This window comes from Homo sapiens, chromosome 21 (genome assembly GCF_000001405.40).
Source record: "Homo sapiens chromosome 21, GRCh38.p14 Primary Assembly".
NCBI lineage: Eukaryota > Metazoa > Chordata > Mammalia > Primates > Hominidae > Homo > Homo sapiens.
Window position 1 is genome coordinate 26555453 of NC_000021.9, and position 18139 is coordinate 26573591.

The 18139-nt window shown below is 37.3% G+C and overlaps 1 protein-coding gene and 1 long non-coding RNA gene across 9 annotated transcripts in view; one reads left to right on the plus strand and one right to left on the minus strand.

Moving 5' to 3' along the window:
• Positions 1-13800, plus strand: part of CYYR1-AS1 (CYYR1 antisense RNA 1) — a 175618-nt gene extending 161818 nt beyond the window's left edge. Inside the window, exon 4 of the long non-coding RNA NR_135515.1 lies at positions 12505-13800. This is a non-coding gene — a long non-coding RNA (CYYR1 antisense RNA 1). The remainder of the gene's footprint in view (positions 1-12504) is intronic.
• Positions 1-17834, minus strand: part of CYYR1 (cysteine and tyrosine rich 1) — a 107071-nt gene extending 89237 nt beyond the window's left edge. For 4 of the 8 annotated variants that reach the window (NM_052954.5, NM_001320768.2, XM_011529450.3 and 1 more), the window contains exons 1-2: positions 17416-17834; positions 10814-10916 (exon numbers count right to left, since the gene is read on the minus strand). In NM_052954.5, coding sequence (NP_443186.3) covers positions 10814-10916; positions 17416-17488 — 176 coding nt within the window. In that variant the 5' untranslated portion in view covers positions 17489-17834. Of the gene's footprint in view, positions 1-2772; positions 6757-9206; positions 9374-10813; positions 10917-17415 lie in introns of those variants that run through there. The other 4 variants (XR_007067783.1, XR_001754808.2, XR_001754807.2 and 1 more) reach the window with 4 other exon arrangements.
• Between the last annotated feature and the right edge of the window lie 305 nt (positions 17835-18139).

The following is an 18139-nucleotide window of genomic DNA, read 5'->3' on the forward strand; positions in this document are numbered from 1 at the left end:
ATGTTTTTGACAGTGTGAGTTGATACAGAAATATGTTTAAAGTAATTTGTCATGTTTTTCTCTATTTTTGCCAGATTTGTGCAAAGGCATAAATTGTTTTTTATTACTGTAGGGTCTTTTTCTTCCTCTCCTTTCTGTAACCATGAATATTGAAATTAAAAATTCTCTTTGTTTCTGAGTCACAGAGTTACCATCGGCTAAATAGCTGAGGCTTTCACCCATAGCACTTTCAGATGGAATCCTATTATACCTTATGAGGTTATCATCACCCTCTGAAATTTTCATTAGTTATGGGTGTGTACATCCTAACATTTTGCAGTTGGGAGACAGCTGGGAGACACTGTGTTCTGGGTTGCAGCTGCCCATCAGAATTCTTCCAACATAATGGAATAAAAATCACTGGGTGTGTGTAATTCTTCCCTCCTCAATTTTATCAACAAAACATTTTATCTCCAAAAATCATGAAGGTGAGTTGCACAGGAGCCTGTTGTCTTAACAGTCATAGGCTGGCAGATCATATTGCCTCATTGATGGAGCACATTCAACCCAGAAACATGACAGGAGGTTAAATTATTATAATCAAATTGGCTTTTCAATTCTAGTCTCTATCATCTGATTATAATTTATCATAAACAGTGTGATTAGAAAGTGACAATTGATTCTATCATTCCTTTTACTCTGTAATGACACCTAATCTGTATTCCATGAGAAGATACTATTTGAAACCAATAACACATTCAAATGATGGTTTGATTTTGCTAAGCAAATATTTTTCCAGATGATGAACACTAGTTTAGAACCCACAAAATGTCAGATTTTTCATGTTTAAATGAAGAATTGATCTGTGTTTAAATAATCTATTCTGGATCCTTCAATCTATTAGGCCCTGTGGCTTTGATAGTGAGTTGGCAGACTAGCTTCTCGTCCTCTTAGGTCTGGAATGTGGAAGGGCAGACAGATATTAAGGAACATAAATAAACTGATAAATAGTAACAGGATAGTGTATTAGTCTGTCTTCACACTGCTAGGAAGAAATACCTGAGACTGGGTAATTTATAAAGAAAAGAGGCTTAATTGACTCATGGTTCCATAGGCTGTACAGATAGCATGACTGGGGAGACGTCAGAAAACTTTCAATCATGGCAGACGGTGAAGGGGAATCAGGCACGTCCTCACATGGCCAGAGCAGGAAAGACAGTGAAAGGGGAAGGGCTACACACTTTTAAACAACCAGATCTCATGAGGACTCACTCACTATCACAAGAACAGCAAGGGAGAAATCCACGCCCATGATCCATTCACCTTCCACCAGGCCCCTCCTACAACACTGAGGATTGCAATTCGACATGAAATTTGGGTAGAGACACAAATCCAAACCTATCAAATAGAGAAGGGATAATGCTACGGCAGCAAACAGCAGGGAATCAAATCCAGATATAGTGGGTAAGAAAAGGTTCTCTCCAAAATATAGCGTTTAGGTCTTCAAAAGGATAGCAATGAATCATTTTCACTCATGGCATCTTGAAACCTTCTTCAGATCTTCAAGAGCCAGTGAGGAGTAGCAGAAACAGGCCAAGTATGTCTCATTTTAAATGCCAGCCCTTTACATAGCAGCTATACGAAATGACTTATTCTGAGCCTCATCCTCCTCATCTGAACAGACAGGAATAATACATAGGTCACAAGGACTATTCTGAAGGTTAATTAACTTATATGTTTTACACATCGGTGACAGAGAACGCATTAAATAAATGGTAGTTCTCTTTCTTCCAACAATTCCTGCTGCCACCAAAAACACTTTCTTTTATAATATCCAACTGTGATGTCTATCTAATTAAGGCAGCTCCTAAACCTAGATTATATGAACAGATATGAGGTAATCTGATTTGGAAACAATCCAAGTCAATAAAAATGGGCGCTCACATAGACTGCTTTGTTATGGTAACATATTCAATTCAGAATGAACTGAAATATCACAAATCCTACATTTTATGTAACATAAAACGCAACAAGCAAATAGAAGAAAATAAAGGCATTGATTGTCCCCACCACCACAAGGAGTGTATTCAGGTTGATTAGTGAAGGACAGATCAGTTTTGATAGAGGTAAAGAGGGCTAAAATAGCATCCGAATGTAAAGAGGGGAGAAATCTCAGTGTATTCCTGAATTTCCCTAAGGCTCCGTTGTTGGCTTGCTGTTCTATTTCTTATACCTCTCTTCAGAAAATCTCATTCATTCCCACACACCTTTCAACCCCAGCATCTCCAGGCTTTTTACTCCCAGACCTATATGTGATGTTTCATGCTCTCCACTGGGCTTCAGAATGGAACATTCCACCATCTGAAGCTCACTGAGTTTGGTTCATACCCTACAGGCTTTTCCTTGTTTAATGTACTAAAAGTAGAATTCATTCCCGTTTCTGAACCTTCCTGAATATTCCCCATTAGTTCTCAGCACACCATCCAGCCTCTTATCCAAAGCAGAAACCTCAGAATTAATTCAGACATGTTCCTCTCATTTAGCCCCAATCCTTAGGTCCACATCCCATCAGTCCTCAAGTACTAATCTCTTCTGTCCTTTCATCCTGTAGCACAAGACACTGTCAAATAGCACCAACCTTTGCTTTCCAGGTGTACTGGGCAGATAGGTAGTGGCAGTAATGCCTGGGAGTTGGTTACAAGCGCAGAATTTCAGGCCCCATCCAGACCTACCAAGTCTGAATCGGCATGTTAAAAAGGTGTCTGGGCGACTCCATTACAACCATGATCAAACTTTTCCATTGCCTTTTTTTAATTACAAGAATTTTCAAACATATAAGAATCATAGATAATATAAAACACCCATATGCCACTACCTGGATTTATTACATGTTAATAATTATACTTTCTTGAGATATTTAATTTAAAACAATTTTTTGAGACAGGGTCTTGCTATGTTGTCCAGGCTGGTCTCAAATTCCTTGGCTCAGGCAATCCTCCCACCTCAGCCTCCCGTGTAGCTGTGAATGCAGATGCAATCCACCATGATTAAGCAATGAAATGTCAGAGTTGAAGGCCACTTCCCAACACTCCTCCCTAGGGTGACCAATGTGTCTCAGTTTGCCCGGGACCATCCAGGTTGCTGCACTCAAAGTATTGAATCCCTGGAAACTTCTCAGTCCTGGGCAATCCTGAAATTCATTGGTACTCTTCTCTCCCTCAGATATTTACACATTCATGACATGTGTTTGTTTTCATAAATAATACACAGAATTATTTTATGTGTTTATGCAAATGGCATCATGTAGTACACATTGCTCTTCAGTTAGCTCTTCACACAGCATTATTCGTTTTGAGATTTACTCTAATGTTATGTTAACATGAACTGAGTTATTTTAATTGCTGTATCCTTTGCACGAATATACTCTATCCACTTGGTCTTCTGATGGAGGTGTGGGTTGCTTCCAATGTTTTGCTATTTTTTAAATAATACGTCAATCAACAGTATAAATGTCTCCTTGGGCATATTTGGAAATTTCCTAGGGAATATATCTTGAAGAGGTGTTACTGCTAAATCCTAAAGTATGTCTATCTTCAGCTTTACTATATGGGGTCTGATTGCTCTCTATGTGGAACAGTTCTTGTTCTCCCATCAACAATGTGAGAGCCCTTTTATCTTTGCCCACATTGCTTGGCACTATCAGACTTACGGAGTATTTGAGCCCAATGGGTATGAGACGGTATTTCAATGTTTTAAGTTGGTTTGTCCTGCTTTAGTTAGCCAGGTGGATCATCTTTCACTTGTTTATGGACCATCCAGTTTTCTGCTCTATGCCTTTTTTTGTGCACACACATTGCCCATTATCCTATTCAGGCATTGCGGATACTAATCTCCTGTGAATCATATGAATTGCAAATATCTTCTCCAAGTGAGGGTTTGCCTTACATTTTTATCTAGGAATTCTGTTGCTCTCTATATTAAAAATTTTAAAAATCAAGATATAATTCACGTCCCACAAAACTCACCATTTTAAAGTGTACAGTTCGGTGTTTTTTAGTAATCTTTTCTTTTGTGTTTTTTAATCTTTTATTTTAGACATTTTTTCTATCCTGATACCATAAATGCTATTCTCCTCCCATTAAAAAAATGTAATTGTTTGCTTTTTGTTTTTACATATTTAGTCTGATAAGAGTGGATTTTTTATTGTGGAGTGATGAATTGATCTCATTTAATGTTTATGCATATGGATAGCTAGTTATTTTAGCAACATCTGTTACATAATCTATCCACCTCCACTAGTCTGTAATGCCATTTCTGTTATCCATCAAGTTTCCATATATACGTCAGTCAGTTTCTAAGCTCCAAATTCTTTTGGTTTATCCATTAACCAATATCACACAATTTCTTTTTTATAACTTTATAATAAATCTTGATGTCTGTAAGGCATATCTTCTGACCTTATTCTTTTTCATAACTCTCTTCTCTTCCCACGATCTTTACTGTCCCACATAAATTTTAGGCCCATTCTTTCAAATTCAACATAAAATGTTCTTGTGGATTTTGATTGGAATTGCACTGAATGTACAGATAGTTCAGGAAGAACTGCCATGTTTAAATATTGACATCTTTACAATACCTGCATCCACAATTTGATATGTCTCTTAATTTCATTAGGTCTCTCTTTATCCCTTGTAATTTTTACATGGTTATAATACTCACTAAATGCATATATTATTACTGGATTCCTTACTGGATATATTATAGTTTTAAATATTGTATTTTAGATTTATTTATGCACATATCTATTACATTTTCTTATTGATTGTTGATGGTATGTAGGAATATACCACTTTGGACACTGATCTTATATCCTGCAATTTTGGTGAATTCCGTTATTTTTCATAGTCTGAGAAATACTGACAATCATCTCATTTGTAAATGAGAGCAATTTACTTTCTTCCTTTCCAGTCTTTATTACCTTTTTAAAAATGTGTCTTGCTGATTGCACTGGCCAGGACTTCCAGTACAATGCTGACTAGAAGTGGTAGAAGGCACTAGTTTGTCATATTTTTGCCTTTAAAGGCAAGGGTTATAACAACATACCATTGATTATGCTGCCTGAGATAGGGTGGTGGTTTTTAAAATATATATTTATTAGGTTAAACATTTTTTCTTCTATATCCCTAGTTTGCTAAGCATTTTAACTCTGAGTGATGACTTTAATTGCTTTTCCTTTTAAAACTGATCTTAGAATTACCCTGCTTTAAGAGGCCTTTCCAGCAATCTAAAGTTGGAATAAAAGCTCCTCGTCTCTGATCCCACTGCATTTTGTGCTTCCAGTGGCAAGTTCATCTGCTGATGTGTCTATGCTCCTCAGTAGCTTCTAAGCAACTCAAGGGCAGGAACGTGATGTTTGATTCATGGCTATATCCTCCGGCACCTGATGTAGATCACTAAAAACTGTACATAGCTGTAAGATAAATTGTGGAAAACATGTTCTAGAAACCTTATTTTTCCTTCCTCAAAACCAATTCTGTTTCTGACAATTAGGCTTAATTTACAAAGACAATTATAACAGCATAGAAATTGGACTGAGAAAAGTTTTAGTTATCTACACATTTATATTTTCTTTTAATACAATAACTCATAGAATGCAAATATACATTTGAAAATCACTGACTTCCTTCTTATAGCAAACATAAGTTGTTGCTACATTCTAAATCAAGTTCATATTTATTTTAACATCATATTAGTTACTTATCTGTGTCATTATTAAAACAAAAATAAGACTCCCACAAGCTTTGATTTCTTCAGTATGTACCTCCTAGAGGTCTTTTCATATCTAATTACTAAGATTATTTTAACTTAATTAATTTAAATGGTTTTTTTTTTTTTTACTAATGCCAAAGGCCTTTTTAAATGCGTTACGTTTGTCAGTGTTTGAATAGCCTTACCTGATTAATCCAGAACACTAAGATACTTAATGATCATAGGACCTCAAATGCCACTCGAAAATATGAAACCTTTATCTTTTAACTCAGTTTTGCTTTCATGCATAGCATGGCTCTCAAATCACGGTTGTGATATTTATTAGCTGTCTTTGCCAAACTGCGGGTAATACATCTTTCACATTTCATTGAGAAGAAAAGAAATTTAATCTCACCAGGATCTCCATTATTAGTTCTCCCTCTTGGTTTTTTTTCCTGTGGGGATTTTATGTTGGCCAGATGGGGCTCTGAAGAATCCACAGACCGATGAGTGCTTTACAATGGCAAAGTGGAAAAGCAAAATCTATTTTTGAGTTAGGAAATTAAATGCGATATATTGTCATCTAGCTCACTATGTCCAAACTAGTCAATATTTTGTTCATATTCAGTATTGTACAATTATTCTCTTACAAAAGAGAATACCTTCATTTTCCTCAACTTTACTTCAGTTCCATGTTTAGCTTGTTCTACTGGATAACAGTAATTAACCACTCAATTGCACCCTCTATTCCCTTAAATTCTACCAACTCCGAAGAGGACTCTATAAACCACATTTTTACACTGGATCTACTTTCTGGGGAATGCCAATTAAATCTCATTAGCAGCAAAAAGTTAAACATCCCTTTCCATATTCATCACAGATCTATCTTCCATGAAGCAGAGTTGCTGAATCAAATGTTTGAGAATCAATCTGGTGGGAAATTGTTTATTTCTTGAATTGGCCCAATTCTCATTTTTAAATATTCTGAGGCTTCTATCTTCGGGTAGTTGCCCTCATGTTCAAAAATCTCTTAAATGGAGAAATAATTATAAGGTCACATAGTTTGTCATAAATGGTTTCAAATAGTGTAACATCTCAAAGTTTGCATTCCAAATATTTCATTTATGGAATAAATAAAAAGCAACTTCATTTGGAGCCTTCTTATCTTTGTCTATTGTCTTAATGATGCCTAAGAATGTGTCGGTTCTATATAAAATCGGATATCTGATTTCCAGAAAAGTACTGAATTATTTTGTTTCAGTTTTGCTAGGCATGACCAACAAAAGCACATCATTAAAGGATCTATCTTTTGTCTGACCTACATATTCCTACATATATTCAAAGGTTACTCGTTCCCCACTAGCCACACTGAACAGTAGGGACTTTCTCAACTGGATCATTTCCTTTCTTGTATCTTTGACTTTGTATGCTAGAGTCTGTCTTAAAACCATGTCCCTTTCTTCACTATTTATGTAAATATCTACTTTTCCTTCAAAACTCTGATCAGATTCCATGTTGATGATCTGTTCCCTAAACATCTCCTCCTAAACACACACACACACACACACACACACACACACAGAGACATACACAAACACACACACACAGAGACATACACAAACACACACACACACACACACACACACACACGGACAGACTTAGCTTTCCAGTCCTCCAATAATACTTCATAGATTAGCTCTTTGAATTAGAATTATTTGTCTATGCTCTCTTTTCTTATCAGATTTTGAGGTCTTGGAAGTCAGAGTCCATCATTTTTTCATCTTTGGATCCCAGGACCTAGGCCACCACTGCCATGGTAGCAGGCACTCAATGTGCATTTATAAATAATAGATTGAATTAAACTTGCTGAATACTGTAAAAATTATTATTAAATTCTGGATAATACTGATTCTCCTATACTAAAGCCAGTATCTGTGACTATAATGACCAGAAGTAGACAGGCCATCTTTTAAGTTCAATTTTAAAGTTTTTCATAAGACAGAAGTAAATCTTAAAATTCCTAGCAGAAGCAAGAAAGAAAAAGGGCACCTGAATTTATTTGCCAAAATTCACTCATATTTAGAATAGAAAGAATCTAAAAAAAAAAAATGAGAGGGCAGGGCACAGTGGCTCTTGCCTGTCAGCACTTTGGGAAGCCGAGGTGGGCAGATCACTTGAGGCCAGGAGTCCAACACCAGCCTGGACAACATGGTGAAAACCACTCTCTACTAAAAATACAAAAATTAGCCAAGCATGGTGGTGCCTGCCTGTAATCCCAGCTACTTGGGAGGTTGAGGCATGAGAATTGCTTGAACTCAGGAGGCGGAGGCTGCAGTGAGCTGAGATTGTGCCACAGCACTCCAGCCTGGGTGACAGAATGAGACTCTGTCTCAAAAATAAATAAATAAATACAATAAATAAAAAAGGAGAGCAAACTGAAAAAAATAAGACTTTTCAACTAAATTAGCTCCTGTGACTGCTTTATAAACAAATCTTAATGGTTAGTTTGCAAAACAGCAAAGGCAATTGAAGTTAGCAGAATTAAGGGCTAAACAGCAACTCTGATGATTTCAGCTGGTGACTAGGGGAAGACCTCAGCAAGGACAGTCAAGTGGCCCTAAACCAACCAATTTGCAAACACTCTAAAATGCCCAAATTATATTTTGCTCTCTTTTTAGCTCATTTTAAACTGAGCAAACATTTTTATTTTAAAAACAAACAAAAACATAAACCAAATTATAAAAATATTCATTTAAGTTACCTAATATTTCATTGTGTTACTGCTTTGTTCCTTATTACTTTTCTAATAACCACAAGGGTTTACCTTTCTGTTACAACAGTTAAAATGATTTCACTAAGAATGTGCCCGGATGCTTGAAAAAGAGGAAACATCATTTATGAATTTCAAAACAGAAATATGTGACAACCTGTGTATGAAGGAACCCTTGTAAGCATTCTGGAATTAATTTTTTTCCTACCTCCTGCATCGCCGACCACCCATTAAAAAAAAAAAACACTTTGGGTGGAGTTAAGAATTCTTTTCAAATGTTAAACAATAACTGGAAATCCTGAAAATGTATTCTCTTTTATCAAGTGGGAAAACGCTTTAAAGTATCCCCCCACCACTGCCACCTTTCTTTTTGCTAAGAATTGTTTAGCATGATATTTACTCAGAGGTTTCTATTTTGAACAGAAAGTTCAGTTATAACTGCCTGAAATATGATGCCATCTGTGTTTATTTTCCCTTCTGAAACACGATTTTTTCCCCCAAACATAGCAAGTACCTGGTCCTAATAACCTAGATACATGTATCAGCTCAACCAATTCTTCACTTAACCAGCGGTGAGATTAAAGATATAGAACATGTACCATAAAAATGTGAACTTCACTGCAAATGTAAATCATATCAAGTACATCTATAAATTCAAATATATAAAAATATTCTGATTAATAAGTAGTTATGAGTTATATGTATTTACCAGGGTGGAGGTAGCTATGGAGTGAGAAAGAGGGCACACAGCACACTCCATGATATAGTTAGTGAATCAAGAGCTAAGCTAGGAGCCAGATGACCAAAGAATCACAGAATCAGTTTGACTTCACATTCTCCAAGTTATACTCGCACCTCTACCTGGGACAGCAGCATCTGGTATGTGGAGACAGTTTGAGAAAAAAAAAATTTAAATTTATTAATAATATATTTTGTTACTTTAAATACTGCGAAGTAATATGCCACTGTAAACATCATTATATATTTAAATTTGAGCTGATAAGTTACTGTAAAAAATCATCCTGACAGTTTTCTAATGTAAAAAGTGGGCTTAATTTCTTTTCTACCAAACCATCCATGAAGAAAAATTCAAACATTTTATTGGAGCTTATTTGCATTTCAAGGAAGGCTTAAATTCTATACATGGTTTTTAATTATAGCTTGACATTTCTTTCACATCTATTATAGTGTTCAAGAGTATCCCAAAGTATGATTTTTTATTTTGTATTCTCAGAGTCATGATCTCTAATAGGAGCCTCAACACTGATTCCAGAAAGTTTATGTGGTGCCAGGTTTTCTATTCTCGGGAAATGGAGGATGTGTAACAAGCCGTCTCAACGGACACTTCCCTAAAACAGCCAGGCACATATGACTTAGCGCCTAATGTTTCCCGTTTCCACTTGAGCCTTTGTAGGGCATGAATTAAACAGAACATTTCCCAAATCATCATGATACTGACTTGAAAAACAAGAACAGAAGACAGAGGCACAACCGTTGCTGCTCTCTGAAAGCCATGGGGATTTTGACTCAAGAAATTCTTATGTTCCCAATTCTCAACCCTCGTTTCTCAGTTGTGGGTTCCTCTCTTGAGGAATTGACAAGTGCACACTTTTCCAGCCGTACAGCCCTGGAGGCAGGTCCAGCTTCCATATTTCCCTTTGTCCAGAATCGGCTCTAAAATAAATTTCTAATTTGTTACAAGGAAATGCTTCACAGAGTCTACATGTACATATTTCATTTGTGTTTTTGTGCCTTGTTGTTTATCACTTTGCATTACTCATACCTAGCTTGTCTTAGGCTCTAAACTTGTTTCCTGAAGTTGCTGTATGTGTATCATGTGAGAACTGACATTTCATGTCTCAACTGTTTTTTATTCATAACCTCTCTTTTTCCTGACATCTACTGGATGTATTAAATTAATACATGATGACAAAATAAACTGGCTATAATTAAATAACAAATCTTAACTTGCACAAAACAGACAAAACCATATCACTGATGATGTTATAAAATTATCAATAAAATGATGTCTACTTAAAACATTATTATAGTACACAAAGTAAAACAATAAAAGAATAACTCTTTTTAGTTCCTTTATAATGAAGGCAATTTATTTTGTATATTATTTTGCATATTTTGTCAAACAATATAGTCCATTAGATAGCGATGTGTTAATATCTCCAGTAAAGATTTCATGTCAATAACCAATCTTGAAATCTCTTGCCCACAACTATCACTTAGTACTTTTAAAAGACATAACTGGACAACTGGACAAGAGGAAGAGCATCAGTATTGCCAAATCTGACGAATACTCACGAGAGGATATTCCCAATATAAGCGTAGTAGGAGCAACAGTAGGGCGTGGTTCCATCACAGCAGTAAGATTTGCAATCTTTGCCACACTGAGCAAGGCAATCATCTACAAAACAAAAACCACTTGTGAGCAGTTATAGTTGTAAAATCACAGTTTCAAGAAAAATTATTCTATTTCACAACTTAATCAGCCAATGACCACCCTTTAGTGGTTTTAAATCTTCATTTTCGTCCTCAGAATTCAAAAACATTTGTAAGGATCTAAATTAGCCTCTCTTCCCCATTAGACTCTAAGCTGTAAAGACAAAGACAACTCTTGAATCTTCTACACCAAGCACCATAATTACCAGTCAGGGTTAGTGGAATGAGATAATGAAGGAAGGAATGAAAGAACAATTAAACTACTCAGTCGCTGGATTTGTCCATAGAGTTTTTATAATAATTTTTAAATGATAAAGCCTTCTTGGCCAGGCAAAATGGCTCACGCATGTAATCCCAGCACTTTGGGAGGCTGAGGCGGGTGATCACTTGAGGTCAGGAGTCTGAGACCAGCCTGGCCAACATGATAAAATCCCGTGTCTACTAAAAATACAAAAAGTAGCTGGGTGTCGTGGTGCACACCTGTAATCTCAGCTACTCAGGAGGCTGAGGCAGGAGAATTACTTGAACCCAGGAGATGGAGGTTGCAATGAGCCGAGATCATGCCACTGCACTCCAGCCTGGGCGACACAGTGAGGCTCTGTCTCAAAAAAAAAAAAAAAAAAAAGAGTCTTCTTACTTTAGGGTCTTGTATTCCCAACTGAGCTCAATCAATAGAAGGTTTAGTGGCATATATAATACCAAAAAGGAATAATTTCAAAATGATGTATATTTTTCCATGATAGTGCATTGTATGCTTTTCATTTGGTGACTTTTTTTTACCTGTATAATTACAGTTTGCATATGTGTGGTAACACAATGAGTCTGCATCCTGTAAATTCATCTGGATGAAAAGATGATTGGTTATAGGAAGAAATCCCCAGAGACAATTATTTTGTAAATAATGAAGAGTTTACTTAATGTCAGATTGAGGAATCAGTAAGATATAAAACAGTACTATGTGAAGGGGGAAGAGTTATTTTCTGAATAAAGGATCAGAAATTACTATTTTTTCCATATATTTTGCTGCAAGAAAAATTATACTAAAAATGTTGGATAAAAATTACTCTAGCTTTTAAGTATTCTTTATTCCACCTAAATGATTTATGTTTAACAAGCAAAGGTTGTCACTGACTTAGTCGTATAAGTTATGATGGATATATAAGTTTCAGATACATGATTAGGAAAACATTAAGTACAGTCTGATAATTTATGTTGTACATTTAAGAGTCACAAAATAATCCATTTCCAGCTCAATTCCTGAAGGTAATATTAATTATTATATAAATTATATAAAACTTTTGTTTCCCTATCAAAGCTATAACATTAAAAATACAAAATATTATATTTATGTCTGCACGTCCATGTAACTGATTTATCCAGAAAGGAAATTTTACATTGCTTTTAAATCACTTCCCTGCTAAGATGATACTTTACAAAGAGATGTGATTAAAAGGCAGCAAAGTTCAGTCACCATTAACAATTATGCGTGGCTTTTGTGGAACAAATGGAAAAGTTCGTATTTTCTTCTCCTCAATTTTATTTTTACATTACAGATTGTCAAACATGACCCTTGAGGCTTACCTCTGGATTGTGGTATGAAGGAATGAAAGCGAAAAATAATTACCTTTGTGAGATTCAGTAAGTACTTAAGTCCACTTTTAAAATTTGAAAACAGAAACAAAATCTAACGATTTAGACACAAGGGAGAAGCCAATATATTGACAATAGATGCTTTTTGCAGAGTACAACAGACTTTTAAAGGCTATTTATTTTACAGTTTTCTTGGTGAATTTCCATAGCTCTCATTTTTAGTGCTGTTTAATTTATTCAAATATTTAGACTGGTCAGTTATCCCAAGGGCTTAGTGGGGATGTTTTGCTTCATGTTCTTAAAAGCCATTCAATGTACGCCTACAGCCATCTGATCTTTGACAAAGTCAGCAAAAATAAGCAATGGGGAAAGGACTCCCTACTCAATAAATGGTGTTGGATAACCAGTTGGCCATACACAGAAGAATGAAACTGGACTCCTATCTTTTACCACATACAAAAATTAACTGAAAATGGATTAAAGATTTAAATGAAAGACCTCAAACTATAAGACTCCTAGAAGAAAAGCTAGGAAGCACCGTTCCTGACATCAGCCTTGGGAAGGAATTTATAACTAAGTCCTCAATAGCAATTGCAACAAAAGCAATTGACAAGCGGGATTTAATTAAACTAAAGAGCTTCTGCACAGCAAAATAAACTATCAACAGAGTAAACAATCTACAGAATGGGAGAAAATATGTGTAAGCTATGCATCTGACAAAAGCCTAATATCCAGAATCTATAAGGAGGTTAAATAATTGAACAAACAAAAACCAAATAATCTCATTAAAAAATGGGCAAAGGACATCAACCAGACACTTCTCAAAAGAAGACATACAAGCAGCCAACAAACACAACAAAAAAATGTTCAACAAGTCACCAATCATCAGAGAAATGCAAATCAAAACAGAGGGCTATTATTGAAAAGTCAAAAAAGCAACAGATGCTGGTGAGCCTGTGGAGAAAAGGGAATACTTATACACTGCTATTGGAAATGTAAATTAGTTCAACCACTGTGGAAAGCAGTTGGGAGATTTCTCAAAGAACTTAAATCAAAACTACCATTTGCCTCAGTGATCCCATTGCTGGGGTATCTATCTAAAGGGAAATAAATCATTCTATCAAAAAGACAAATGCAGTTGTACATTCGTCACAGCACTATTCAAAATAGTAAAGAGACTGATTCATCCCAAGTGTTCATTAATAGTGGACTCAGTAAAGAAAATGTGGTACATACACACCGTGGAATACTATGCAGCCAGAAAAAAAAAAGAATAAAATCATGTCCTTTGCAGCAACATGGATGAAACTGGAGGCCATCATCCTATGCAAATTAATTCAGGAACAGAAAACCAAATACCGCATGTTCTCACTTACAAGTGGGAGCTAAACACTGGGTACTCACGGACATAAAGATGGCAACAACAGATGCTGGGGACTTCTAGAGCAGGGAGGAAAGGGAGTGGGGAGGGTTGAAAAACTAACTATTGGGTACTGTATTCAATACCTGGGTGACGGGATCCATTGTACCTCAAACCTCAGCATCACAAAATATACCCAGGTAACAAATCTGCACATGTACTCCCTGAGTCTAAAATTAAAGAAGTTGAAATTATCAAAAAATAAATAAATAAAAGCCATTCTGATTGTGAGAGAGCTAATGTCCCCACTATTCCGTCAGAGTAGGACAACCAATGTGTAAGTAACGTCATGGGTGCCTTTTGAACCATGTCCAGGACAGTGACATCTTATTAAACTCGCCATCAATATCGAAGATTCAATTGCTACCGTTGCATTCCGGTGACTACTTTTATAAAGACATGGTGTTATCAAAATATTTTGAGCCAACGTTACAGGAAACCAAGCCCAAAATGTTGTAGCCAAGAAGCTGGATTATACCTGCAGCAAACATCTGGATCATGTTACACACTGGTCATTGTTTTTATGGCATTTTCCAGTGCTCTTGTCTACTTCCCAGAATTAAACTACCCAAAAGGGGAGATTTAACAGAATGGCAAATACATTTACAATCACAACCTCTCCAAAATGAAATTTCAACCACACTTCAAAGCCTTTTTTATGTTGGTTGCTTTCTCTGGGATATTTGAGAATAATTTGACAAAGATCAGTGTTTGCGCCATACAGGAGCTTTTTCTCACTGGAGAAAGAACAGATCATTCCAATTTGTCTTCAGAAGATAAATAATATTACTTCTAATGTCCAAGTTAGTATCCCTGAAAATCAGCCAACTTAAACTTTCTTCAATGACTTTTTGCTGAAAGGTGTGGTCTGGAAGAAGGTTCCCCAACTCACCCCTGACTCCCAACTCACCCTGCCTCCCACCTTAAGGAATGCGCAGAACAGGAAAAGCAGTATCTGGCTTGAAGCACTTGCTTAGAAATGGCCCTTGCAAGCTATAGCTAAGATAAGAGAGGAAGGAAAGGGAGGAGACAGAAGTTACTGGCTGAGGCCCGGAAGGTAAAACCTTGACCGAATCCTGTCTTTGTAGCCTGCAGTGGGAGTCAGACAATAATATCAACACTTCACTGGGTCTCCTTCCAAAAGTAACTCTATAGTACAACATGATGCTTCAGGTATAGAAACCTTGCTCTTATTTGTTTAGCCAAATGAAATGTGAATCTAATGCATTTGCTTTGGGGAAAATAATTTAGATTATGAGCAGTGCATCTACTTAGATTTTTGTCCCACAAAGCTGGCAATTCATTTAATAGTATGAACTATTTTGACTTCTGTGGTGTTCCAGCATCTAACCTCAACCCTTACTTCTAGCCATACCTCTTAGTTCCAACCAAACTGAAATATCCTTTGTTGCATGTACAGATCTTGATTTTTGACTTTGATCACACGATATCCTACTATATCCCACTCCGTCTCGTTGGGTTCAGGGCGTCTATATTTTTCAAAGGTCTAGTTCCTTCAAGTCTTCTTCAATTCAGTTTTCCTGAGCAAATACTGATTGATCTTTTTGCTGAACAAAATAGACATTGTCCTCATGAAGCTTACTCTTTTAAGCCAGCAGTAAGACTTTCTTCTTTGAACATCTATAGCACGTGATTTTACCTCTCCTATGACACAACCTTTTATACCTTAAAGTAACTTATGATCATACCGTAGTTCCCAGAGAAGACTGATAAGAACATGACCTCTTACGGCTCAACATACCTCACTCAGTAAGTAATAGTTGAATGAATATGAAAAGCATAAAAAGGCCTCTGAATAACAAGTCCAGGAATTGACACCAAAGAGCTTATTAGCTAAACACTTCTTAGCAAAGATAGTAAGTCAACTTAGCACTGGCTTACAACTACTTTGTAGCTTATGATAGAGGGATTCCAAAGAAGAGAAATGAATGGACTGAAAACTTTCTAAACTAACCACCCTTGTTGCTGGCCAGCTTCGCTGATTTCCTGAGCCCTGAGGAGCTGGGCACCTAGCACTGGGGAAACAGGAGGAGGGGGCAGATGTGTAAAGCAGAAGCTTTCAGTTTACCACAGGGAATATAATAAACAAACAAACAAACAAACAAAATTGTGGTTCAATGGAGTGGTTGAATAAGTGTGAGTGAAAGTATTAAATATTGTCGAGCAGAGGAAGTGAAAAGCATAATTACTTCGAAAGAACTAATAAAGAGATTTTTTCAATAGAAAATGAATATTAATGCAGTTGACTCTGTTAATCCCTCAAATTCTGAAAACCTTATACAAATTTAATAAAAGAAATAAATGTTGTAAACAGATTAAATGTAATTCTCTTCATTAAATACGAAGAACTTATCCTACTTTTATGAATTTTCATATTAGAAGGTCAGCATTTTTCCTGCCATAAAACATCTTTAAAATGGTAACTCCTAGACAGCCACTAATTTGCATTTCAATAAACAGGCTAAAAATGTCTACAGAAGTTATGGTGACTCTTTTCTAGCAAGGTTGAATGAGAAATTCAATTCTTTTAATACTCAGGTGCAACACTGAAGAACATCATTTCAGTTGCAATATCTTTTTGAGTATCAAAGGTAAATTTCAGTGCTATATATACATTTCGTATTGGAGGCTCAGGGGTGAGCCTGCGATTTTTGTCATAGGACGTTAGAGACACAAAAACATTTTACAAAGAACTTTGCTTTTAGCTTGCATTGTTTTGTGAATATGAACTGATGCAAAGACCACGTGTGTAAGACACTTTATACCTGAATAACCAATGAAAGGCCATTTGGGGCTCCATATTAATCACAAACAAGAAAACCCACTTTGCTTCGTTAATTATTAGCAGTTCTTACTACGAATAATTAGAAGGGAAACCAGATGCCCTTCTCTTATAAACAAGTGTCTATCTAAATCAACGAACCTGTACAGATTAGACCCTGGGTGAATTCATGCTTCTCAAAAACCTTGTGTTTGACTTCAGTCCAATAGCTCAGTCTACCACACTTGTGAATCTCCCAAAGAACGAAAACAAAGCTCTAAGTTTTTTTTATTCACAAGAGGGAAAACCAGGACTATTTAGAAAGCAGAAGATGGAGAGGCCACTGCCTAGCCTATCCAGATAAGTTTATTTGGATATAGTTTACTCTATCCAGAGAGTCAAATCCCCTAAACACGAGACTGCTATTTCCAAGGTGGAAAGGGAAAGAAAAGAAATGCAAAAGGTAAAAGTTAAAGGAAAAGGAACAAAACAAAACCGCGTGCGGCTGGAAGTGCGCGGGTTTCTGCCGTCGCCTCGCGGAAAAGGCAGAAGCGTCTGCAAAGGTCCTTCTGCAAAGGTCCCGGTCCGTCCAGCTCAACCCACGTTAGCCCGGACCGTGACCCAAGGGCAGCCCCGAGCCTCTGACCCTCTCCGCCGCCCTCCGTCACTGACCTGCGTAGACAAAGAGCAGGACCAACTTCGGAAGCAAGACCCCTGGACGCACGGGTAGCCTCGGAGCGTCCATCCAAGCCGGTGGCCTGAGGCTTGGAGCGAAGGGAGAGCCCGGAACCGGAGGGAATGGGGAGGATGGAGGGCGATCAGATGGAGAGAGCAGCGCTCCTGAGAGCCGGGTGGAGCAGAGACCCGGCCATTGCCTAGGGAGCCTTCCAAGGGAGCCCGGGCCGGGCGCGTCCCGGGCCAGCGACTGCGGGACTCCGCGGAGCTGGGGCGCCCGTGGCCCGAGACGGGCTGCGCTGGGGGCCCAGGTCTCTTTGTCTCGCCCCACTGCGCTCAGGCGCGGGGAAGGCGGCCACTCCGGCGTCCTTGGCCACCCAGGCTCACATTTCATCTCCGCGGGTGGCAACGACTGCGGGCAGGGGGCGGGGGTGGCCCCGACTCCTCCCCAAGCCCGGGTTCTTCCTTCTAAAGAGTGACTAGGGGACCAAGAAACTTTTCCTAACCCCTTGCTTTGGCGATTGCTATGGAGTTCAGCCTGCTCCTTTTTAACCTTGCCTCCACTACAATTTTTCCTTTCTAAGCAATGGATGAACAACTTTGCTTTTTATCTTTAAACAAAGGGAAGGAATTTTCAGGGTTGAAGGTATTCGACAAAGAGTGACAGTGAAGAAAACTCAGGATTGGGAAGTACAGAAAGTGTATGGCATCTCTGCTGAAA